The following is a 25,342-nucleotide window of genomic DNA, read 5'->3' as shown; positions in this document are numbered from 1 at the left end:
ATCGTTTTAACGACAAATGACAGCAGCATGAATCTGCCGCTTTACCCCACAGCAGGGCGCGTGCGTGAAACAAATTACTCAAAAGGATCGCCTGCAGAAAAACCCACAGCCACCACCACTTAAGAGATGGAGAGAGGCCCGAGGCTGCCCCGCGGGTGGTCCGCGCAGGCCCCGGTGCGGCCGCCGCGCCCACGCCCGCCTCCCGGGCTCGGCCGCCCGCCAGCCCCGCGCCCGTACCGCCCCCGCCACCGGCCGCCCAGGTGCCCCAGGCCAGGACCTGACGCGCAGGGCCCGGCCGCCTCGCCCCGCCGGCGCGCGGACGCAGCCTCCCAAGAGCCGCTGGCTCAGCCGGCGCCCGCGATCCCGGCGCCTCTCGCGGCCCGAGGGGCGGGCCGACGCGGGACTGCCGCCCCCCGCGTACGGCCAATCGCAACGAGGCTGCTCCGTGGGCGCAGCCAATGGGGAAGAGGAGCCCTTCGCCGCTCCTCCCGACTCTCCCGCTTCCAGCAATCCCGCTTATCTTCCTACTTGGAGCGCCGTGGCTGCGGCCAAGGCCAACAGCGGGCGCCGGAAGGCTGGATTTCCGCCGCACGCACGCGCTCCCGCACTCCCACGGGAGACTGCTTGGCCCGGAGCGCTCTTGATCACGCCGCGGCGGGAGGTGGCGCTCACACTAACTATAGCTATCCAGGGCGCGGGTCGAGTGGCGAGACCAGCTCCCCTGGGTATGAGAACGCATCTTTGTGCGGTCGGCTGGCTGGGGCCTGAAGAGCTTCCTCCTGTGTGTTCAACTGAACGCAGCAAAAGTCTTGGGCAGATTCCATGGAGCAGCTGTGGAAGCACTGTGCAGGGAATCGAAGAAGGAAACACCTCCAGCGACCACAAAACAAAATTGAAGAACTATAAAACAATATAGGCCGGGCGTGGTGGCTCACGTATGTAATTTTCAGCGCTTTGGGAGGCCGAAGCGGGAGGATCCCTCGAAGCCAGGAGTTGGAGGATCCCATGTTGCCAGACTGGGCAACATAGCAAGACCCCATCTCTAAAAAATAAAAATAAAAAAATTTAACAATTAGCCAGGTGTGGTGGCACACACCTGTGATCCCAGCTGCTCGGGAGGCTGAGACAGGAGAATCGCCTGAGCCTGGGAGATCAATGCTACAGTGAGCTTAGATCGTGCCACTGCACTCCAGCCTGGGCGACAGAGTGAGATCCTGCCTCTAAGAAAGAAAAATAACGGCCGGGCGTGGTGGCTCAGGCCTGTAATCCCAGCACTTTGGGAGGCCAGAGCAGGTGGATCATTTGAGGTCAGGAGTTCAAAACCAGCCTGGCCAACATGATGAGACCCCTTCTCTACTGAAAATACAAAGATTAGCCAGGTGTGGTGGCACGTGACTGTAATCCCAGCTACTCGGGAGGCCGAGGCAGGAGAATCGCTTGAACCCGGGAGGCGGAGGTTGCAGTGAGCCGACATTGCACCACTGCACTCCAGCCTGGGGGACAGAGGCTGCACCACTGCAGCCTTGACTTACCGGGTTCAGGTGGTTCTCCACCTCAGCCTTGCCACTAGCTGGGACTGCAGGCACATGGAACCACACCTGGCTAATTTTTGTAGTTTTTGTAGACGGGATTTTGCCATGTTGCCCAGGCTGGTCTCGAACTCCTGGGCTCAAGTGATCCGCCCGCCTCAGTCTCCCAAAGTGCTAGGATTACAGGTGTGAGTCACTGCACTCGGCTAATAGTAATGAACTTTGAACAGAAGGAAAGTTGTTATTATTTTCTTGGTTATGTTCTATCTATATTTTCTAATTTTTCTAAACATGTAAAGATAAAATTCTAAAAACTCAGACCTCAGAACAAAAAAATTAGAGTATAAATATTTATTTTAGTTAACTTGTACAAATTTGGTTTCTGGAAAAAGAATGGAATAGATTTTCTGAGAAAAAAAATCCACCACTTTGGCCGGGCGCAGTGGTTTACGCGTGTAATGCCTGCACTTTGGGAGGCTGAGGCGGTGGATCACCTGAGGTGAGGAGTTCAAGACCAGCCTGACCGACATGAAGAAACCCCTGTCTCTACTAAAAATACAAAAATTAGTCAGGCCTGGTGGCACGCACCTGTAATCCCAGCTACTCAGGAGGCTGAGGCTGGAGAATCGCTTGAACCCAGGAGGCAGAGGTTGCAGTGAGCTGAGATCGCACCATAGCGCTCCAGCCTGGGTGACAAAAGGAAAACTCTGTCTCAAAAAGAAAGAAAGAAAAGCAGACTGGCTGAAAGGATTGAAGAACAAAATATGATCCACCAATGTGCTATCTACAAGATAAACATTTTAAATACAGAAACAGATTGAAAGTAAAGGGATACAAAGATACAATTAAAATAGTAACCAAAAAAGAGCTGAAGGGGCTGTACTAATATCAAATGTAATACACTTTAAATTAAAGCAGGGCTGGGCATGGTAGCTCAGGCCTGCAATCCCAGCACTTTGGGAGGTGGAGGCAGAGAGACACGTGAGCCCAGAAGTTCGAGATCAGCCTGAGCAACATGGCATAATCCCATCTCTACAAAAAATACAAAAATTAGGCGGGCATGGTGGTACCCACCTGTGGTCCCAGCTATTTGGGAGGCTGAGGTGGGAGGATCATGTGAGCTGGGGAAGTTGAGGCCGCAGTGAGCTAAGATCGGGCCCCTGCACTCCACCCTGGGCAACAGAGCGAGACCCTGTCTGAAAATAAAAAAAAATAAAAAACGGGGTTGAGAGACAAAAAAGGACATCCTTTTTTTTATTATTGTATTTTGAAATGGAGTTTCGCTCGTTGCCCAGGCTGGAGTGCAATCGTGTGATCTTGGCTCACTGCAACCTCCGCCTCCCGGGTTCAAGTGATTGTCGTGCCTCAGGCTCCCGAGTAGCTGGCATTACATGTGCCTGCCATCACGCCCAGCTAATTTTTGTATTTTGATACAGACGGGGTTTCACCATGTTGGCCAGGGTGGTCTCCAACTACTGACCTCAGGTGATCCACCTGCCTTGGCCTCCCAAAATGCTGGGACTACAGACATGAGCCACCGCGCCAGCCGAAACCTTCATTTTAAAAAAGGCTGGGTCAGGCATCATGCCTCATGCCTGTAATCCCAGCACTTTGAGAGGGCAACGCAGGCGGATCACCTGACGTCAGGAGTTCGAGACCAGACTGACCAACATGGTGAAACCCCGTCTCTACCAAAAATATAAAAATTAGCCGGGTGTGGTGGCACACACCTGTAATCCCAGCTACTCAGGAGGCTGAGGCAGGAGAATTGCTTGAATCTGGGAGGTGGAGGATGCAGTGAGCCGAGATTGTGCTACCACACTGCAGCCAGGGTGACAGAGTGAGACGCCATCTCAAAAAATAAATAAAGGCTGGGTGCCAGATGTGGTGCATAGGCCTAGTTTGTTGACTCCTGTACTTAACATATAAAACTCTAAAGAACAGTGGGAAGGAGCTTCCCTCTAGAGGCACAGGAGCGGCCAAGTTGGTCCCTGAGCAGTGACTTTATAATAACATGTTACACTGTGTTTTTTGTTTTTGTTTTGTTTTTTGTTTGTTTGAGACGGAGTTTCGCTCTTGTTGCCCAGGCTGGAGTACAATGGCGTGATCTCAGCTCAAAACAACCTCTACCTCCCAGATTCAAGCGATTCTCCTGCCTCAGCCTCCAAAGTAGGTGGGATTTCAGTCATGCAACACCATGCCCGGCTAATTTTGTACTTTTAGTAGGGATGGGGTTTCTCCATGTTGGTCAGGCTGGTCTCGAACTCCTGACCTCAAGGGATCTGCCCGCCTCGGCCTCCCAAAGTGCTGGGATTACAGGCGTGAGCCACCACACCCAGCCTTTATTTTTTTTCTTTTTTTTTAGACACAGTCTGACTCCGTTGCCCAGGCTGGAGTGCAGTAGCACGATCTTGGTTCACTGTAACTTCTGCCTCCCAGGTTCAAGCGATTCTCCTGCCTCAGCCTCCCAAGTAGCTGGGATTACAGGCATGCACCACCACATCTGACTAATTTTTGTATTTTTAGTAGAGATGGGGTTTCACCATGTTGGCCAGGCTGGTCTCAAACTCCTCACCTCAAGTAATCCGTCCGCCTCGGCCTCCCAAAGTGCTGGGATTACAAGGCGTGACCCACCGGGCCTGGCCCTGTGTGTTGTTTTATGTATGTTTCTATATGTGTTATATTTCACAATAAACTAAATATTAAAACAAAGAATAACTGATAGCTATGCACAAAGGTATTTAAATTTCACCCTCACAAATAATTTTTTTTTTTTGAGACAGGATCTCACTCTGTTACCCAGGCTGGAGTGCAGTGGCACCACCTTGGTTCACTGCAGACTTGACCTCCCAGGCCCAAGCGATCCTTCTACCTCAGCCTCCTGAGTAGCTGGGACTACAGGCACACTCCACCACACCCACCTAATTTTTGTATTTTTGGTAAAGATGGGGTTTCACCATGTTGGCCAGGCTGGTCTCGAACTTCTGGGATCAAGGAATCCTCCAACCTTGGCTTTCCAAAGTGCTGGTATTACAGGCGTGAGCCACTGTACCCGGCCAAGAATAGTTTCTTCTCCTTACCTAGGTAGAGACCTCTGCAGAAATGCTGGGAGATCTTTGGAGAGGGGAGATTTTTTAAATAAAAAATTTAATACTTGGAGGGGCGTGGTGGCTTACCCCTGTAATCCCAGCACTTTGGGAGGCCAAGGCGGACAGATCAGGAAGTCAGGAGATTGAGACCACCCTGGCTAACACGGTGAAACCCCATCTCTACTAAAAAAAATACAAAAAATTAGCTGGGCATCGTGGCGGGCGCCTGTAGTCCCAGCTACTCGGGAGGCTGAGTCAGGAGACTGGCGTGAACCTGGGAGGCGGAGCTTGCAGTGAGCCGACATCGGGCCACTGCACTCCAGCCTGGGCGACACAGCAAGACTTCGTCTCAAAAAAAAAAAAAAAAAATTAATGCTTTGGGATGCCAAGGCAGGTGGATCACGAGGTCAGGAGTTCAAGAACTGCCTGGCCAAGATGGTGAAACCCCGTAAAAATACAAAAATTTGCCGGGCTTGGTGGCAGGTGCCTGTAATCCCAGCTATTCAGGAGGCTGAGGCAGGAGAATTGCTTGAACCTGGGTGGCAGAGGTTGCAGGGAGCCAAGATAGCACCACTGCACTCCAGCCTGGGCAATAAGAGTCAGACTCTGTCTAAAAAAAAAAAAAAAAAAACTGATCTAGTTCAAAACCTCACTTTGAATCCACCCACATTGCTCTAAAATACTTTCATCTTTCCTGTGGCTAAAACCTTAAAGCCTTGCCAGTAACTCCCATTGCACTTAAGGAAATCCAATCTCCCTTGTTGTGGCCCCTGAACAGGCTGCTGCTGGCCCACCACGGTGCCTCTAGTTTGTGTAAAATGCATATGTTAATTTATAATATATGAGGCTTTTTTAGCTCTAAAAGGCTATTATTCACTAGTTGCTGTGTGAATCAGTATTTCTGGGTGCAGTTAGAAATTATTAGAGTTGATGCCCAAGACTCATCTCCATCAGCACGGGGGAGGCATCTGCTCGTTTTATGGTCAGTGACTCTGGGCCTCCTGCTGGGCTAAGTCCTGAGGTGGGTCTGACTCAGGTCAGAGCTGTGCACCCCGGCCCTCCTCCCCAACGTGCATGAGTGCTCTTTAGGATGGAGCTGAACACTGGCTTCTCAAAACCACTTGGCCCCATCACAGGCCCTGAGAACTGATTGGGTCACTCTGGTGGGCTCCCCAGCCCTAGCCAAGAAGGGTTTCTCTAGGGAGCCTGGCCCCCCACTTATGAGACCTGGAGCCCCAAAGATCCTGACCAGGGGCCTGCCTCCTCCAGGGAGGGGCCACTCGCCCCCACCAAGCTCCCTTCACAGAGACCCATCCAACAGAGCTGAGGAAAACCATGCCTCATAAATGAATAAATACATAAATAAGGATGCCGGGGACCTGTGGATTTTGTAATTCCTGAAAGAAGGCAGAGTGGCTGGCTCACAGCAAGCGCAGTAGGAGATACTGCTCCCCGGCCAGGCTGTTCTCTGTCTCTTTGGAGGGAGCCCTAGGGTACAAGAAAAGCCAGAGGAGACCAGCTGGCCCAGAAGGTGCCTCTCCACCCCTTCCCCAGAGTTTCTGGGAAACAAAGCCCACCCGAGGGACACATGCCTTCTTGGGAGTTGTACCAGGCCTCCTTCCTCATCCGGCCATGCAGTGGTTTTCAGTGCCCGAAACAGATGAATAAAATAGGCCCTTTACTGGATGTTCTTCAGGAACATGCACACTTCTTTGGATCTTACCATCGTTTTATCTCTATTTAAAGTTAAATGCTGTGTTATACAGAGTATTGGTAAAGATGTAGAGCTACAAGAACTGTCAAGCTGGCAGTAGCATAAAATTGTATAAGCACATTGGAAACCTGTTTGGCAGCTTCTACTAAAGCTATATCTATGCCTACGTTCAGAAATTCCATCCTAAGCATGTACACAAGAGAAACGAGTGCATATGTCCACAAAAAGACTTATATAAGAATGTTCACTGCCATTTTTATTCATAAGAGCCCCAAATGAAAACAACCTAAATGTCCATCAACAGGAGAGTGAATAAATGGTGATACAGTCACATCATGGAATACTACACAGCCAAAAAAGAAAAATGAAGTGGTAGGAACACTCAACGACATGGGTGAATAGAGGGAGCCAGGTATGAGAGACAGTGCACAGTACCAGCCCACCTAGATGAAGCGCAGGAAGGCAGAACTGACGATGATTGAAGTCAGAAGAGTAGTTTCCTTTGTGGGAAAGTGTAGGTCAGGAAGGAGCCTTCTGGGGTACTACAAATCTGCCGTATTTTGGCTGGGTGCAACAGCTCACACCAGCACTTCGGGAGGCATAGGCGAGAGGGTCACTTGAGCCCAGGAGTTAGAGACCAGCTTGGGCAACACAGCGAGATCCCATCTCTACAAAAAAATTAAAAATTAGCGTGGCATGCTGGTGTGCACCTGTAGTCTCAGCTACTCAGGAGGCTGAGGCAGGAGGATTGCTTGAGCTTAAGAGTTTGAGGTTGCAGTGAGCTCCCAAAGTGCTGGGATTACAGGTGTGAGACACTATACCAGCCTGATTTTTAAATACTGACCAAGCCTTGTGTTACTGGGATAGGCATCACTTGGCCACGATTTACTACTCTCTTTCTTTCTTTTTTTTTTTTTTTTTGAGACAGAATCTCACTCTGTCACCCAGGCTGGAGTGCATTGGTGCAATCTCAGCTCTCTGCAACCTCTGCCTCCTGGGTTCAAGCAATTCTCCTGCCTCAGCTTCCTGAGTAGCTGGGATTAGAGGTGTGCACCACCACACCTGGCTAATTTTGTTTGTTTGTTGTTTGTTTTTAGTAGAGATGGGGTTTCACCATGTTGGCCAGCCTGGTCTCCAACTCCTGACCTCAAGTGATCCACCCTCCTTGGCATCCCAATATTCCTATGATTACAGGCGTGAGCCACTGCGCCCGGCCCTATTCTGTTTCTATATTGCTAAATTTGACTTGCTAACACGTTTTTGAGGATTTTTCTGTTGATGCTCATCAGGGATGTTGGTTTGCAGTTTTCTTTCTTTGTATTACACTATCTCGTCTGGCTTTCTGTCAGGGGAAAGCTGACCTTATACAAAGTATTGGCATGTGTTCCCTCCTTTTCCATTTTCTCTAAGGGATTGTGTAGAATTAGTGTTATTTCTTCTTTAAATGTTTTTGAATCCATCTGAACCTGGAGATTTCTTTCTAAAAGATTTTACGCCGGGCACGGTGGCTCGTGCCTATAATCCCAGCACGTTGGGAGGCCGAGGCAGGTGGATCACCTGAGGTCAGGAGTTTGAGACCAGCCTGGCTAACATGGTGAAACCCCGTTTCTACTAAAAATACAAAAAATTAGTCGAGCTTGGTGGCGTGCGCCTGTAATCCCAGCTACTCAGGAGGCTAAGGCAGGAGAATCACTTGAACCTGGGAGGCAGAGATTGCAGAGAGCTGAGATTGCACCAATGCACTCCAGCCTGGGTGACAGAGTGAGACTCCGGCTCAAAAAAAAAAAAAAATTTTTACAAATTCAATTTATTTAACAGATACAGAACTATTCAGGTAACCTGTTTGTTTCTAGGAGGATTTTCCTGGTTTGTGGCACTCGGACATTGCTTTATTTCATCTAAGTTGTCTGATTTTTAAGTGTCAAGTTTTCCTTAGTGTTCTCTTGCTAACCGTCTGAAGTCTGTGGGGCCTGCAGTGATGTCCCTTCATTCATTCCTGATACTGATAATTTGTATCTTTTCTGTTTTTTTCTTTGTCAGTTTTCCTAGAGTTTTTCAATTTTGTTGATCTTTTCAAAGAATGATCTTTAAGTTTCATTAATTTTTCCCTTCTTTTTTTGCTTTCAATCTCATTAGTTTCTGCTTTTATCTTGGCATTTGTTCCTTTGGCTTGTTTTGCGTTCACTTTGCTCTTTTTCTGGTTTCTTAAGGTGGAAACTTGGATTGCTGATTTAGACCTATCTTTTTTGTAATATATAATGATTTGATGCTATAAATTTTCCTCTAAGCAGTACTTTAATTAACCCCACAAATTTTGGTGCATTTTCATTTATGTTCAAAATATTTTCTAATTTCTTTTGAGAATTGTTCTTTGACCCATGGATGATGATGATGATGATGATTATTATTATTATTTTTCTTCAATACGGAGTTTCACTGTTGTTGCCCAGGCTGGAGTGCAATGACATGATCTCGGCTCACTGCAACCTCTGTCTCCTGGGTTCAAGCGATTCTCCTGCCTCAGCCTCCTGATTAGCTGGGACTACGGGCACCCGCCACCATGCCCGGCTAATTGTTTTGTATTTACAGTAGAGATGGGGTTTCTCCATGTTGGCCAGGCTGATCTTCAACTCCTGGCCTCAGGTGATCCCCCCAACTTGGCCTCCCACAGTGTTGGGATTACACGCGTGAGCCAGTGCGCCCGGCCTGACCCATGGATTATTAAGTATGTTGTTTTATTTTGAAGTGTTTGCAGATTGTTTTGTTAATGATTTCTAGTTTAATACCATTGTGATTGGAGAACAAACTGCATATGATTTCATTTCTTTTAAATTTGTTAAGATTTATGTGTCAGGTTATGTTCTCAGTGAACATTCTGTATGTGCTTAAAAAGTATATGTATGGTCTGTATATGTATGGTCTGTATATACATATATGTATACATATATGTGTAAAAAGTATATGTATGGTCTGTATGTGCTTAAAAAGTATATGTATGGTCCAGCACTTTGGGAGGCCGAGGCAGGCAGATCACAAGGTCAGGAGATCGAGACCATCCTGGCTAACAGGGTGAAACTCAGTCTCTACTAAAAATACAAAAAAAATTACCCGGGCATGATGGCGGGCGCCTGTAGTCCCAGCTACTTGGGAGGCTGAGGCAGGAGACTGGCTTGAGCCTGGGAAGCAGAGCTTGCAGTGAACTGAGATCATGCGACTGCACTCCAGCCTGGGCGACAGAGCTAGACTCCATCTCAAAAAAAATAAAATTTAAAAAAAGTATATGTAAAGTGTATGTATGGCCGGGCACGGTGGCTCACGCCTGTAATCCCAGCACTTTGGGAGGCCAAGGCAGGTGGATCACGAGGTCAGGAAATCAAGACCATCCTGGCTGACATGGTGAAACCCCATCTCTACTAAAAATAAAAATTAAAAAAATAATAATAATTAGCCAGGCGTGGTGGTGAGCACCTGTAGTCCCAGCTACTCAGGAGGCTGAGGTAGGAGAATGGCGTGAACCCAGGAGGCAGAGCTTGCAGTGGGCTGAGATCCCGCCACTGCACTCTAGCCTGGGCGACAGAGCGAGACTCTGTCTCAAAAAAAAAAAAAAGTATATGTATTTTGCTGTTGTTGGGTGAAGTGTTCTATAAATTAGATCCAGTTTATTGAAGGTGTTCTACAGTTCTCCTAGATTTTTGCCGATTACTTGTTCTCTCACTATGAAAGATATTGTGTGTGTTATATGTGTCTAACAATTCATTGTCTAGTTAGAGTTGCTATTATACCACTTCAAGTGGATGGAGAGCCTCACTGCCATCCATTAATGTGCATTAATCATTTTGAGAGTGAAAAGATTTTTTAAAATGTTTTTACTTTTTTAGGTATGGCCAAGTGAGATGGGGCTAGTGAAATGGGTGGGAGAATTGGAAGCTGATAGTGTGTGAGCTAGACACCCATGAATGCTTTTCCACTGGGCAGTTAGAGGGATGATAGGTAATAATATAAGGCAGCTCCATCACACAAGCTGGTGACTCCTGTGCGACAGACCAAGAACTGCATTTGGAGATTCATTTCCGATTGTTGCGTTTCCTCTTAGAGCATTGCTTGGTCATCGTGTTCTGAGTGGTCCATTGGCCTCCATGTCCCTTTTGGGGTGGATATTTGCTCAGTGACTTTTGAGCAGCTGGATCTCCTGCTTCGGCAGGTGAGTGAGGGGATGGATGGCTCCACGGACTGGCCCCCGCCCCAGGAGAAAGAGTGCGTGGCCGTGGCAACGCTGAATCTTCCCCGACTTCAGGTATTCGTGATTTCCCTTCCTCTTGCTCCTTTTATAAGTGTCTTAGCGATTTGTAAGAAGGTTTATGTATTTTGAAGGACATAGGTTTTAGCCTGCTGGGGGAAGTATTTTAAAGTAAGATTGTAATGCACTAATAATGGACGCAAGGCTTAAAAAACTTGATCTGTTTATTTTATGTTTGTCCTGGAAGTCAGCCTCGGCATGCAGGAAGAGTGTATATGGATTGTGTTATTTTTGCTATAATCATTAGTTTGTTGGTATTCTTACTGTTTTACTGTTGTTGCGTGTGGAGAAATGACTGGGTGAGATCACAGGTGATGGAGAGAGACAGCGCTCAGCTGAGAGACCAGTGCTGGCCTGTCTCTCCTCTGTCCTGTGAAAACCCTGCTCCAGGAGGGTCCAGTCTTTTGGTTTCCCTGGGCCACACTGGAAGAAGAATTGTCTTGGGCTACACATAAAATACACTTATGATAGCTGATGAGCTTAAAAAAAGAATCCCAAAAATATCTCATGATGTTTTAAGAAATTTTACTTTGGGCCACATTCAAAGCTGCCCTGGGCCACATGCTGCCCTCGGGCCGTGGGTTGAACAAGCTTGATCTACTCAGTAAGCTTGGCTCCCAAAGCAATACCTTCCTTTCCTCACCATGAAGGCTGTGGTTAGGGTCAAAATAAAAGCTACAAAAGCCTTCCTCCCTAGCAAAACTAAAGCTGAAGTGTTTGATCATCATCTTTTGTCTTTGTAATAAAACCCTCTAACTTAATGACAAGAACCACGGTTTTCTCGACATAGTAATTTTTCCCTTTTATTACAGTGGTTTCTTGTAACAACCCGTCATGTCCCTCTTCCAGCCCCTCCCCTTTTTGCCCTGCTTCTAGAATGTACAGAACTGAGTGTAGTGTTTAGTTGCAGTAATGAACTGAGCAGAGGTCTGGAGCATGCTTCTCCTCTAGTCCTCTGTAGCACTCATTTATCACCATATCTGTGGCATCCTGGCGTTTGCGTGGTTGCGCCCCAGGTGTTTGCTGCCCCTCCTGGTTTGCGGTGATGTGTCTGTTCTGGTCAGTGCTGTGGGGCGTGGCCTTGTGTATGTCTTAGGCTGTCGAGGTGTCCCAGCGTATGGTTTTGCATTTGCCTCTCCAGGGTCCTGAGGGTTCTGTAGGTTTCACAGACTCCAGGTGAGTTTCGGTGGTCATTTCCTGACCTGTGATATCTATACCTAGATGAGTGGTGTGCTTTTGATTTCACTTCTACTCACAGGGCAAGGCCGGGTCTCTGATTTCTCATGGGGCCTCTTGCTACCCAAAGCCTGGGACGGGCAGTGTGTTGCCCCCTGGCTGCGGTTGGCTGGCAGGCAGGTGATCCTGAGTGGCTCCCAGCCTTCTGCAGGAAGCTCGAGTTCAGTGGGTCCTTGTGTGCATTCCCGTGTGGGAGGTTGTGCTGAAGCCTGGCGGCTTGGCTCTGCTTTCAGAGCCCGGAACCTCTTGACTCCTGCTGTGTGTGCCCACGTGAATTTTGGTTTTGCACTTGAGGAGTTTCCCTGTGTACTCTCAGCTCCACAGTCTAATTTTTAGCAGCTCTTTTTTTTTTTTAGACAGGGTGTCACTTTGTCACCCAGGCTGGAATGCAGTGGTACGGTCTTGGCCTGCCAGGTTCAAGTGATTCTCCTGCCTCAGCCTCCCAAGTAGCTGGGACTACAGGTGTGTACCATCACACCCGGCTGATTTTTTTATAGAGATGGGGTTTCATCATGTTGGCCAGGCTGATCTTGAACTCCTGATCTCAAGTGAGCTTTCCCGTCGGCCTCCCAAAGTGCTGGGATTACAGGCATGAGCCACCGCCTATGGCAGCTTTTGTGGTTACATTGTAGCCATTATTTCTGTGTTTGGTGCAGATTGTTGGGGCGGGGTGGAGGTTGCTGTTGCTAGTTGTTTAGCTCTTCTGCTCATCTTGAGCTTTTCCATATATGTGTTCATAGTGGGGTTAAAAAAAATTCCTCTAGAAAATACTTCAACTATTGTGGGTAAGAGTTTTTTTAGTCCAGTTTTTAAAAATACGTAAACTGAGAAGTTATTTTGTCTATTTAGATGATACTTCAAATTGACTTTTATTCAGTGTTTAATAAGACTTTGAAATTCACTCATTTTTAGGGGTTCTAAGTGAAAATTGTTTTTCTCCTTTCAGTTGCATGCTGCCATTAGTCACCAGGTTGACCTGGAATTCCTTGGTTTAGGTCTGGGCAGCGTCTTCCTGAACAGCCTGAAGCAGAAGGTGGTGACCCTGGCAAGCAGCGCAGACGTGCTGAGCACCGTGCAGTCGGCCTCCCAGGCCATGCTGCAGAGCGGCTGGTCCATGCTGTTGCCCACCGCTGAGAAGCAGGCCCGGGCACTCTGCTCTCCTGTCCTGCGGAGGTGGGCTCGGGGAAGGAACAGGAGAGGGCATGGGTCAGGGTGCTGGGAGGGGATGGCGTTTCACTCAAATTGGCACACACTTTCTATTTCAGTTTCAGGCAATGAAGTGAGCATAAGTCCAGGTCATCGATTGGTGATTGATCTTCTGGTGGGCAGCTTGATGGCTGATGGAGGGTTGGAGTCAGCCTTACACGCAGCCATTACTGCAGAGATCCAGGTATGGCCTTGGAGGCACACGTGACCTGGTGGTGGGCTGAGATCGGAAATACCACACTCACACATGTGAAGAATAACTGAAAACAGTAAAACACTAAACTTATATCCAAGTATTTTTTTAAATTAAAATTCTTTTATGTGCTAATTTTAAAAATTATTGAGATGATTTGTGATAAAATACTGCATGTTGTCTGTTTCAGTGAAGTTAACAGGTAACCTGTTCCTCATGTAGACCATTCCCGTCACCCGGAAAGATCCCTGTGCTCCTTGGCACTTGCAGCCAGGATACTCCCCTGCCCTGAGATTAGATTCATTTTTCCTGCTCTGAGTGTCGCAGCAATATAACTGTATAGTATGCACTCTTTCCTGCTTTGCCTTGGAGAATGATTTTCAGATTCACTCACTGTTGTGTGTATTGCGACTTCGTTTTTATTATTGGGAAGTTTTCCATTTTATAGGTGTAGTACTGTTTGTTAGTTCATTCTCCTATTGAAGGACATGTAATTGTTTTTGGTTTTTGTTTTCTTTTTTTTTTTTTTTTTTTTGAGACAGGGTCTTGCTCTGTCACCCAGGCTGTATACAGTGACCTGATGTTGGCTCACTGCAGCCTTGTACTCCTAGGTTCAAATGATCCTCCCACCTCAGCCTCCTGTGTTGCAGGGACCACATACATGTCACCATGCCCGGCTAGTTTTTTGATTTTTTTGTAGAGACAAGGTTTCACTGTGTTGCAAGGCTGGTCTTCAACTCCTGGGCTCCAGTGATCCCCCCACCTTGGCCTCCCAAAGTGTTGGGATTACAAGCGTGAGCCACCGCGCCCAGGCTTTCTGGTTTTTGGCCGTGTAGAGCTGCCACAATTGTGCTGTGAACAAGTACTTTAGTGAACATATGTTCTCCCTTTGGATAAACACTTGGAGTGGAATTTGTTAGGTCCTGGGGTTAGTGTGTGTTCATAGTTTCCCAAAGTGGCTTTGCCATTTGCATTTGAACCAGGACTTTTGTGTGTGAGAATTCTAGCTCCTTCTTGTCCTTACAGAGCAGCTGGATGCTGTGTGTGTGGAGCCGATCACATTGGGTTTTGTGTGAGCCATTAGCAGGGTTAAGGATTTTAGGGACTTCACAGAAGGAGGCTGGAGAGCATCAGCAGAGGCAGCCTAGACCTTGGATCTGTAAAAAGAAGACACTGTTTGAAACTGCACAGATGAGTTGGGGTTTCCAACAGGGCAGGTGGGGGCCTGTGGGTGGATGGGTGTGGCAGCCACAGAGGCTGGGATAGCTTGGCACTGGGGTCAGGGCTCAGCCAGCCTGTGTGCCTTCACACCTGGTAATGAGATCACTTGTAAACAATTTCTGTTTGTCAATTACAGGATACAAAAAAAGAAGCACGGAAGGAAAAAGAAATTTATGAACAGGAAGCAAATGCCTCAACATTTCATAGAAGGAGGACTCCATTGGATAAAGACCTTATTAATACGGGGATCTGTGAGTCTTCTGGCAAACAGTGTTTGCCTCTGGTTCAGCTCATACAACAGCTTCTTAGGTAAATCATATTAGCTGTATTGTATTGTGTTTTATTTATTTACTTTTTTGTTTTTTGAGACAGAGTTTCGCTCTTGTTGCCCAGGCCCGAGTGCAGTGGTGCGATCTTGACTCACTGCAACCTCCGCCTCCCAGGTTCAAGTAATTCCTCTGCCTCAGCCTCTCGAGCAGCTGGGATTACAGGCATGCGCCACCATGCCCCACTAATTTTGTAATTTTATTAGAGACAGGGTTTCTTCATGTTGGTCAGGCCGGTCTTGAACTCCCAACCTCAGGTGGTCCATCCACTTTGGCCTATCAAAATGTTGGGATTACAGGCATTAGCCACCACGCCTGGCCTATTTATTTACTTATTAATGGTGTTTTTTTTTTTTTTTTTTTTTTGAGATGGAGTCTTGCTCTATCGTCCAGGCTGGAGTGCAGTGTCACGATCTTGGCTCACTGCAACCCCCGCCTCCTGGGTTCAAGCTATTCTCCTGCCTCAGCCTCCCGAGTAGCTGGGACTACAGGCGTCTGCAACCACACCTGGCTGATTTTTGTATTTTTAGTAGAGATGGGGTTTTACCATATTGGTCAGGCTGGTCTCAAATTCCTGACGTCAGGTGACCCACCTGCCTTGGCCTCTCAAAATGTTGGGATTACAGGTGTTAGCCACTGTGCCTGGCCTGTATTGTATTTTAATAGGTGATTATTGGTTTTCATATTAAGATAGTGAAATCTAGCGCAAGGATCTCAAAAATTTGTTTGATGATTGAAGGAATATTCTGAAAATTACCTAGTATAGATGTTAGGATAAAGAGCAGACCCTTTTCAATATAGGTGAGAGGAGAAGTTGGAGGGTGTGATGATACTCAAAAGTTTTTCACTGAAGAGAAATTGGGGCGTGCAGTAAACATGTAAAAAGATTCTTACTAATAAGCAGGTGGATGCAAATGAAAATCATCATGGAAGGTTATTTTTAAAACTGATTGTATCATTGCCTCACTTTATATATTACAGAGTTATACATACTACTTTGTAAGATAACTTTTCTTTTCAAAACTGAAGTCAATGTGATAGAATGGTGAGCATTATTTTGGAAGGCCAGACTAGGAGGAGGTGGGAGGAAGAAGTCAGACTCAGCCTGTGAACAGACGCTAACCTTGGCAGAAGCCAAAACAGTCAGACAGTGTTGTGTAAAAATGATCATTCAAGAAGAGCGAAACAGCAAGGTGATTTGTGAAAGAGATTTATTAGAAAATGAAACACATTTATACCTCTGTTCAATAAAAATCTGCTTTTCGTCAACTGATGCTCCTGGTTTTTGTTTCTACACATAGAGAAAGCAGAGCCCTGGCAGCTGGGGTCAGGCAGCCGAGTACAGACCAGGGAGCCCTGGGCAGTGGCTGCAGCTCTCAGCTGGCCTGTTCATGGGGCCATGGTGGGTCTGTGGCGTGGGGTGGGCCTGTGGCGTGGGGTGGGCCTGCGGCGTGGGGTGGGCCCGCGGCATGGGGTGGGCCTGCTGTCCACAGCCAGAAAAACTAACTTAGTGCACACACAGTGAAATTTTGAAACAGGAAGTTTTAGAGCTAGTTTCTGTCATAGATTTTAGTAAATGCTACTTTGCAAAACCTTTTTCTGATGTTTGTTTTGTTTTTCTAATCTGATAATGCATATTTCACACATTCTGGTCTTTAACAAATGGAAATAAAGAGAACTAAACAATATAGTTTGTGTCGATGGAAAGAGCTTGGGATTTGTTCTCAGAAAATTTCAGTTACAACAGTTTGTTCATATAGGTGGACTTCCAACACAGTAACTATAGGAGTAAGAATAAAAGCTGTGTTTACTTTCACAGAGTTAATTAAGAATACATGAGAAAATGGATGTTAAAAACCTTGTAATTAAAATGTACAGTTACATGCAAAGTTTTAAAGTGAGCATTTTCCAGAGGTGCTTTTCTAAGTTCTTGAATGCCTCTCCCTTTTCTGAAGTGGCTGCTTCGTGGGGCTGTTGGTCTTTGGCAGGGGGTGAGTGCAGGGTTCCTGTTGTGGGTCCTTTGTTCTCACGAGGGCAGTGCCCGTTTTCCCCGTCTCCTGCTTGCCCAGACTGTTCCCGTGCGCAGAGAGACTGGCCTGTTTGACCTGCAGCTGTGCTGTTTGAGCTGCAGCTGTGTAGCCTGCGCTGGCCCATCTGGCTACACTCAACACCGTTTGCTGATCAGCACTTGAAGTCTGTCCGTCATAGCTGAGACACTGAATATTTTATCTGTTTAATTTTTATTCATTAAAATGCAGGTTTGAAAATTTGATTCTGTTATTAGAAAGCACTTAAGTATGTTTAGAATCACTTGGCCTTGGGAGTCTACTTTGTCAACTGTGTATTTTATGAGTCTAAATGGAGATCAGATGTTTTCAATGCAAATTTCACGGTCCAAATTGAAATGTGTTACATATGTAAGCTACTCAGATGGTTTTTGAGGACTTAATATGAAATAACCTATGTAAAATATCTCAATAATTTTTCTTAGATTGATTTCATGTTGAAATGGTCATATTTTTGATCTGTTGGAATAACTATGATACATTATTAAAATTATTTTTATTTTTTAAGATGGAATCTTACTCTGTTGACCAGACCGGAGTGCAGTGGTGCAATCTTGGCTCACTGCAACCTCCGCCTCTTGTGTTCAAGTGATTCTCCTGCCTCAGCCTCCTGAGCAGCTGGGACTACAGGACTACAGACTCCCGAGCAGCTGGGACTACCACCACGCCTGGCTGATTTTTGTATTTTTGTAGAGACAGAGTTTCACCATGTTGGCCAGGCTGGTCTCGAACTCCTGACCTCAAGTAATCTGCCCGCTTTGGCTTCCCAGAGTGCTGGGATTACAGGCATGAGCCACTGCAACCAGCCATTATTACAATTAATTTTATGTGTTGTTGTTTTTCTTGTTGGTGTGTTTTTTTTTTTTTTTTTTACTTTTGTTAATGTGACTAAGAACAATTTTTTTTCCCCACCCGGAGATGGATCCTCACTCTGTTGCCTGGACTGGAGTGCAGTAGCACGATCTCAGCTCACTGCAGCCTCTGCCTCCTGGGTTCAAATGATTCTCCTGCCTCAACCTCCTGAGTGGCTGGGACTAACAGAAGCATGCCACCATACCTGGCTAATTTTTGTATTTTTAGTAGAGATGGGGTTTCACCATGTTGGCCAGGATGGTCTTGAACTCCCAACCTCAGGTAATCTGCCCACCTCAGCCTCCCAAAGTGTTGGGATTACAGGCGTGAGCCACCGCACCTGGCCATGTTTATTAATACGACTAAGAACATTTTGAATTGCACCTGTGGCTCCATTGGTGTCCTGGGCAGGTGGCTCTGTGCTGTCTACACAGGTTGTCTCCTGTGTCTTCGTCTTCGCTGCGTGTGACTTTTTGGTTCCTGTGGCACGTGGGGTCCTGTATGGGACATTGGTTCTACAGCAGATTTATAGTAAGGATGTACCTACTAAAAAATACAAAATAAAAAGAATAGACACAAACATAGAAATAAGTATCACCTCACAAAACTTTTGGAAAGTAGAAAAAGAAAAATGCATTCGCAGCTTTCCAGTAGCCGATATCCAGGCTGTCTTCATAAGCATGGATCATGTTTCCCTCTCCTGCATGGGTAGACACTGTTTTCTCACCTTAAGTGTTTGTGAGTGAAGGATTCTTGATGTGTTGACTTGGCAGATGCAGTTGTTGAACAGTAGTTTATCTAAAGATCGTAAGAGACTTTTGGAGACATTTCATGTCCTTTTTTCCCTTGGAAAACGTGGGTTGGAGAAATCGCTGCTTGCCAAAAATAAGCCGTGAAACGTATTTCAGAGTAGATCGTTATTTACATGCTGGCGAGGAGCCACAGAATACCATTTACATTTGAAAATAGAGTGCTGCGAAGTTTTTATAAGTAGTGAATCCCATCAGAATTACACATTTTGATTATGGCTCTAAATTTTATATTAAATAAACTAAAAATTTCATTGTATTGTATTACCGTCTCTTGCTCCTTCAGGTGTAGCATACATGTTAGATTCTAGACCTGTTTCTTGTGTTACAGTGGTGTTATCCAGGCAGGGTATCATGTAGTGAAGGTGATGTCTAGTGGTGGTGGTGAGCCCAGTGAAGGCGCATCCTTGCCGTGTGTGATGAGGGCCTGTGGGTTGCTATGGGATTCCCCAACCCTGGCTCCTCTGTCTCCTGCTTCTGTCCTTACTCACACTGCTGGTAGTTTTCTGGTGTGAGCCACGGGGGCAAGTGGGATTGACAAGCCTGCTGTCACATTAGGAACCTGAGTTAAAGTGGAGCTGAAAGCATGTCCTCACTCTTGATGTTGTGCAGAGAGCCACCTGTGCTCCTGGCTCAACGGGGCGTGTGTGGTGGGTCTGGAACCAGGCCCTGGTTTGGCTCTCCTCCCCTCCATGTTCCCCTGTCCTGTCTGATTTGCTTCACACTGACATAAGAGTTACTTTCCCTCGGCCTCCCAAAGTGCTGGTATTACAGGCATTAGCCACCGCGCCCAGCTAGCATCCTTTCAAGTACTGGGGTACACCCAAGCTCCCAGCTTCTAGCTAGGAGTCATTTTGTCCCTCTTTATCCCAAAGGACTTGCCACCATCTTTGGTTCCCAAAGCCCAGGAGGGTCCAGGCTCTTCAGCCTCCAACCACTTTGCATTTCTTGTCTGCTTTTCGTTCATGGAGATAATTAACTTATTTTTCAGCCTGGGCATGTCTTTTTTATTTACTTTATTTTTTATTTTTATTTTTTGAGATGGAGTCTCACTCTGTCGCCCAGGCTGGAATGCAGTGGCGGGATCTCATTTCACTGCAGCCTCTGCCTCCCGGGTTCAAGTGATTCTCCTGCCTCAGCCTCCTGAGTAGCTGGGACTACAGGTGTGCACCACTATGCCCAGCTAATTTTTACATTTTTAGTAGAGACAGGGTGTCGCCATATTGGCCAGGCTGGTCTCGAACTCCTGGCTTCAAGTGATCCTCCTGCCTCAGCCTCCCAGAGTGCTGGGATTACAGGCACGACCACCGCACCCAGCCTTTATTTACTTTGTATATCTCATCTATTACTGCTGCAGTTTGCAGAAGAGAGGATGCCCTCAAACCTAACTTCTCCAAACCATCCCAAATGGGAAGTCTGCTCCACGTCAACAGCATTGTTGCTTTTAAAGACTATACGTCAACATGGCAGATTATAGCAAAAGGATGTCGAGGGAGCAATAGGAAAGCAAGCCTGAGAGTCCTGGAGAGAAGGTGGCAGAGCTGCCTTTTGAAGGTGGTTCCTTCCTCAGACCCTGCCCTTCCTGCCTTGTTCCTCCAGTTGCCAGATTTGCTGTTGGAGCTCCTCCACGGGCGAAGAGGTGAGGCTGGACTGAGAGGGAGATGGAGAAGCTGCCAGAGATTCTTTTGGATCTAGAATTGAGACAGCAGTTCCAGCCAGGTCCAGAGGTGGGGGCTGTCACCCAGCCCCCAGGGGAATGGTACTGATTGCAGAATGTGGCGAGAACTCCCTGGCTGGGAGAGGGAGGTGCTTGCTCCCTTGAATCACCTGAGCCCAGGCTGGAAGGCCCAAGGGGGAGGACGAGGCCAGCTCACTCCAGCTCCATCCCCTCCCTTTAACCCTAAGCTAGTTAACCCTCCCAGACTCCAGTCCTTTTTCCTAAGTGCCCTCCCTGCAAAGTCTGCACCGAGCAGCGCTCCCTCGCACCAGCTCACCCTGCACTGTCTTGTCTTTCAGCAACCCCATGGGTTTGAACTTGAGACGATTCATGTTCCTAAAAGCCTCTTTGGGCTGAGGGAAGGCATGGGTGGCTCTGCCAGTTTTGGAGTGGGGGCCGACTCTTCTCAGAGCCGCTGCAAGGGCCAGGGCCACCCTCCCAGGCGGGTGTCTCCGGGCTGGGCAGCAGCTTTGTAGGCAGCCTGGGTCATCCCCACTGGTCTGGGAAGCTGGGGGTGCACCGGCTCCTGCTCCTGATAGGGCCAAGGCACCTTCCTTACCTAAGAGCTGACTTTCTTGAAGAGTGGGCACAGAGGAGCCGGCAACCTGGGCTGTGTAGGCACCCAGGAGAAAATCTGCAGCTCAGTATCAGAAGTCTCCACCAGCACGGCTGTTGCAGAGATGGGGAAACTGGGCTGAGAGGGAAGGGGGCTTGCCCAAATCACCAGCCCTGGAATGTTTGGAGCTTTGGGGGTGGATCTCCCAGGAAACGTGTTTTTATGGCACCACCGCCTCTGGTCACCCACCCCGAGGTGTGGCGGGCCTGGACAGCCAGCTTGACTGAGGGCCAGGCTGGTGAAGTCAAAACTACCACTCAGGAAGAAGACCTAGCCCTTCTCCAGACAGAGTTCAAATGTGAGGACTGCCTTCTTTGGGCCTCAAATTCCCCACGTGAATTCCAAGGACCCCTCTAGCTCCTACACTCTGGGCCAAGGTTTCCTCTGAGCCGCAGTCAGCCTAGAGGACCTAGGATACATCTTCCTTGGACAGAGACCCACCATAGGGGCAGCAGGAGGTAGGGGTGGGGGTAGGCAAGATTCCTGTGGGGAGGTGGAGCTGTCATCAGAGATGGTGTCTGCAGGCAGTGGGTGTATCGTGGCTCTGCTACTACTTGCTGGGTGGCCCCATGACGTTTCTTTCCCCACTCTGACCTCAGTTTCCCTATCTGTTCTGTGGAGATAAGATGCCTGCCTACATATTTGTGGACTGGGATGTGTGTGGGCCAGTTGCAGTGTTTCTTGGTGTGGTCCTGGGGCAGGCTGCACCACCCCATAGAGATTTCTGGGCCCCACCCTAGGCTCACAGGACCAGAATCTCTGGGAATGAAGCCTGGGAATTTGCATTTCCACAGGCATCTGGCTGATTCTGACATGACTGAAAAGCACTAATAGTATATAGCAAGTTCTTTATAAAAGGTAAATTCATAGCTGCCTTTTACTAAACATAAATCTCACCTTCCCTTCCTCAGTTAAGGACACACACCGCAGTTGAAAATCACTGTGCCTTTCCAGATGCAGAATCTGACCTTTCCGATAAGATTCTGTTAACTGCTGCTTTCTGCAGTTTGTATTCCAAAACAAGGGGAATATGTTTCCATTTTTTCAATACAAATGTTTAAGTCGGATATGCTTTCTCAAACTGGACACGCACTCACACAGCTTAGGGTTTCAGCTATGGCTTCCTCTCAAATTATTAGCCTCTTTCTGCCAGGGAGCAGTTTTTCCCAGACAAGACCCTGGACAGAGGTTGGTGGGGCCCTCCTCATCAGAATCACTAGATTATGACTGACCCCTAGAGGTGGCTTTTCTGCTTAAGTGTCAGCCCATGGGCTGGGTTGTGACCCCCAAAGCTGCGGCAGAAGCTTCCACCCATCCTGGGCCCCCCCTGCCATCTATGGGGAAAGGCCTGTCCCTTGTCTTCTGGGCCCAGCCGGCCTCACAGGCATTCAGCAGATTGGAAAGTCGAAGCATGTGCTGTGCTTGGCTGGGCTCTCCTGCGCCCCTTTTTGGGGTGAGGTGGAGTGCATCCAGCCCCCAGCATCCCTGCCGTTTATTCCCACCCCTCATCCCCACCCCCATACACACTCACAAGTACAAACACAAGCACAGTCACTGGCACACACCACTCTGGACAGCACCATTTCCAGCCTCAGCGGGGCAGTTTCCTTACAGGGAAGTTAATGAGGCACTAACGAAGGCTCAGGGGACAGGGGGAACCTCTATCGAGAAGAGGCTCCTAGACCTGGTTCTGCCTCTGAATTGCTGGGGGTCCTTGAGAAAGTTGCTATCCCTCTCTGGTCTCAGTTTCCTCAGGTGAGAAATGGGGGGCCGGCCAAATGGTCTAAGGTTCTGGGAACCTCTAAATCAGAGCCCGTAGCTGGTGGTCAAGATGAGGGAGAGGCCCTCAGGGTCAGCCGAATGCCTGAGAGGCCGGACAGGCCCAAAGGTGAGCAACGTGAGCACATCAGGTGGGCTCAGAGCTGGCGCATGAGCCCCACAGCCTGCAGAGCAGCCCTGTACTCGGGAGCCCGCTCGCACCAACCCAGTGGGACTTCAGAGATGTGGGGTCCAGCCTTTCCTACTATTGCTGGGCTGAGGGCTGGGAGCTGCAGATTCTGACCCCACAGCTGCCTTAGACATGCCAGATGGTCTGGGGCAAGACACACCCCTCTCTATGAAATGAGCAGCCAGTCCAAATAGGTACGTTAGAGAAGGGCTGTGGGATGGACCCAGCTGTAGCCTGGGGCTACAGACTGGCTTCCGGGGTACTCAAGCAGCTGGCCTCTGGGGTAGCAGCCCCAGGTATGAGAGGCAGGACTCAGAATCTAGGCCAAGCCTCCATAGGAATCCCCTCTGGAGAGCCCGGGCACTCTGCAGGAGGGGCAGCAGGCAGCAGGTGCACCAGGAGCATGTTTCACAAGGTGCCCAATATCGCATCTGCTCAGATAGGCAGCGAGTTGGAAAGTGGATGCAATAGGCAGGGTGGCGGCTGCTCCCCACAGCCAGGAGTCCGGCCCAGCACCCACCTGAGTCCGCCTCAGTCCTGCTCAATTGGGTTATCCGTGCTCTTGGCCCTCTGGTCCCACCCACAGAGGGAGGTCTTTGGGGCGACCAGGTGAGCTGGCCCTTGTGGGAGGATGTAACTGACTCCTGAGCCTGGCGAGCCAGGCAGCCCCTCGCCAACGTCCCCACCCCTACCTCTCCAGCCCCCCCGCATTCCCTGATCCTCCCATCCGCTCCCCTGACCCAGCAGTTGCCTCTGCTCACTCTCTTTTCCTGCTCCCAGGCTCGCCTGGTCATGTGTCCTTCACTCTCCTCTGAGTCTCCCTCTTTCCAAGCCGCCTCCACTCTACTTGACACACTCTCCCTTAAGACACCAGAGTACACAAGCGCAAGTCTCTGCACCTCACCTTTACTCCCAGACATGGGAGGGAGATGACATGAAGACCCAAACGCCACTTAGCAGGAGATCTGGGGTATGCAGAGGGGCAGAACGGAGGCTGTGGAAGCTCCAGGGGCTCCCTGCAGGAGGCCACATGTAAGCTGGCTATTGAATGTGGCTCTGAGCTGAGACCTCTCCTTGAAGCTCCAGACCAGGAGCCAGCTGCTAGCTGGACCCCTCCATTTGGTGCCTCAGAGAAACTTTGCACTCTCTAGGTCTAACTTTGAACCCAGAAAATTCCCCCATGTCGGCCCTGTCTCTTCATAGGGAAAGCACCACCTCAGACCCAGTTCTGCACCAAACCCACATTTGAGTCACGAGGCTCCTGCCCTGCACTGTGAGCACTCTGGATAAGCCAGTGCTGAGGGGGAAAGAGCTCTGAATGCCAAGCCAAAACATGAGCTTCAACTCCACCTCCAGCTCTGAGAGCTGTGGGTAGGGAAGGGCCCTCGTCCAGTTTGCTGTAGAAAGATCAGTCTGCCACTGTATGGCACATGGATGGCAGGGGCAGAGTGCAGGTGGAGAGAACAGAAGGTGGGCAGGGCGGGGGAGGCAGGGACATGGCTGTAGCCGTGGAGATGGGAGGACAGACAGGACTTGGTGGCCACTTGGGTGAACCAAGGGAGGAGTCAGGAAGAGACACCCAGTTTTGTATCAGATGTGTAGAGCGTGGGATGCTGTTCATTGACGGAGGGAGGAGGAGGAGGAAGAGGTATGGCATGGGGAGGAGGTAGCTGAGCTCTGTCGTGAATGTCATTTGAAGTCCCCAGGGAAAGCCAGGCCGGCCAGCACCTTCACTGCTTCAGCCAGCTCTCAGGGTGTCTGTGCTCCCTGGCCCTCTCAGCTCCTGCTTCATAGCTGTCATCTGCAGTGGGAGACAGCTGCACAAGGGCCCAGCATGTCTGTGTGTTTACCCAGGGGACTGCCGCATGGCCCATGCCGAGCAGAAACTGATGGACGACCTTCTGAACAAAACCTGTTACAACAACCTGATCCGCCCAGCCACCAGCTCCTCACAGCTCATCTCCATCCAGACGGCGCTCTCCCTGGCCCAGTGCATCAGCGTGGTAGGTGCAGAGGGTACCTGTGGCTCAGGCTCAGGTGAAGAGGCAGCTCATGCCCAAGCCCTAAGCAGTCAATGTCCAGAGGAATGAAATGACTAGAGTTGACTTAGACTCACCGGTACACGGTGGGGAGGCTGGAGGAGGGTCCATGAGGTTTATAGGTGTCCAGTATTTAATGAGGCCATGGTTTTGTTAACAAAGAAGAAATGAGGGTGGGAGCGAGATCACCACTGGCTAGGAGACTCAGCTGAGTCTCCAGCACGACCATGAGCTTCTCATCCTGATCCTCCCAGCCCCACCCTACTTTTCTCCCCCAGCTTGCTCAACAGGTGACCTTACAGGCTCCCTACTCTTTGCAGGGAATAAGAACCAGACTGGGGGAACTGACGGGTACAGAGGCCCAGGTGTAGGCGCAGGACCACAGGCAGTGAAGCGTCTACTGACCCAGGCGGGTGAGGGTCTGGAGAGTGGGCATGGCTGCTGCAGGCATGGAAAGCAGGCACAGATGGCGGCACTCCCAGGG

The 25,342-nt window shown here is 48.8% G+C and overlaps 3 pseudogenes across 2 annotated transcripts in view; 2 read left to right on the top strand and 1 right to left on the bottom strand.

Annotated features, from left to right (window-relative positions):
* HERC2P2 (HERC2 pseudogene 2) overlaps positions 1 to 396 on the bottom strand; it is a 95,995-nt pseudogene extending 95,599 nt beyond the window's left edge. Inside the window, exon 1 of the transcript NR_002824.3 lies at positions 278 to 396. The product of NR_002824.3 is annotated as an HERC2 pseudogene 2 (transcript). The remainder of the gene's footprint in view (positions 1 to 277) is intronic.
* Positions 397 to 12,858: 12,462 nt separating this feature from the next.
* On the top strand, positions 12,859 to 16,080 carry HERC2P7 (HERC2 pseudogene 7; annotated as a pseudogene). Its single transcript, NR_036470.1, has 3 exons — positions 12,859 to 13,038; positions 13,131 to 13,255; positions 14,622 to 16,080. The product of NR_036470.1 is annotated as an HERC2 pseudogene 7 (transcript).
* A 3,865-nt stretch (positions 16,081 to 19,945) lies between these two features.
* Positions 19,946 to 23,855, top strand: LOC112268161 (pectinesterase inhibitor 10-like; annotated as a pseudogene).
* Positions 23,856 to 25,342: the final 1,487 nt, after the last annotated feature.

The sequence above is a fragment of the Homo sapiens genome, chromosome 15 (assembly GCF_000001405.40).
Source record: "Homo sapiens chromosome 15, GRCh38.p14 Primary Assembly".
Lineage (NCBI taxonomy): Eukaryota > Metazoa > Chordata > Mammalia > Primates > Hominidae > Homo > Homo sapiens.
Note: the sequence above shows the minus strand (reverse complement) of the source record. Positions and strands in the feature narration are given on the sequence as shown.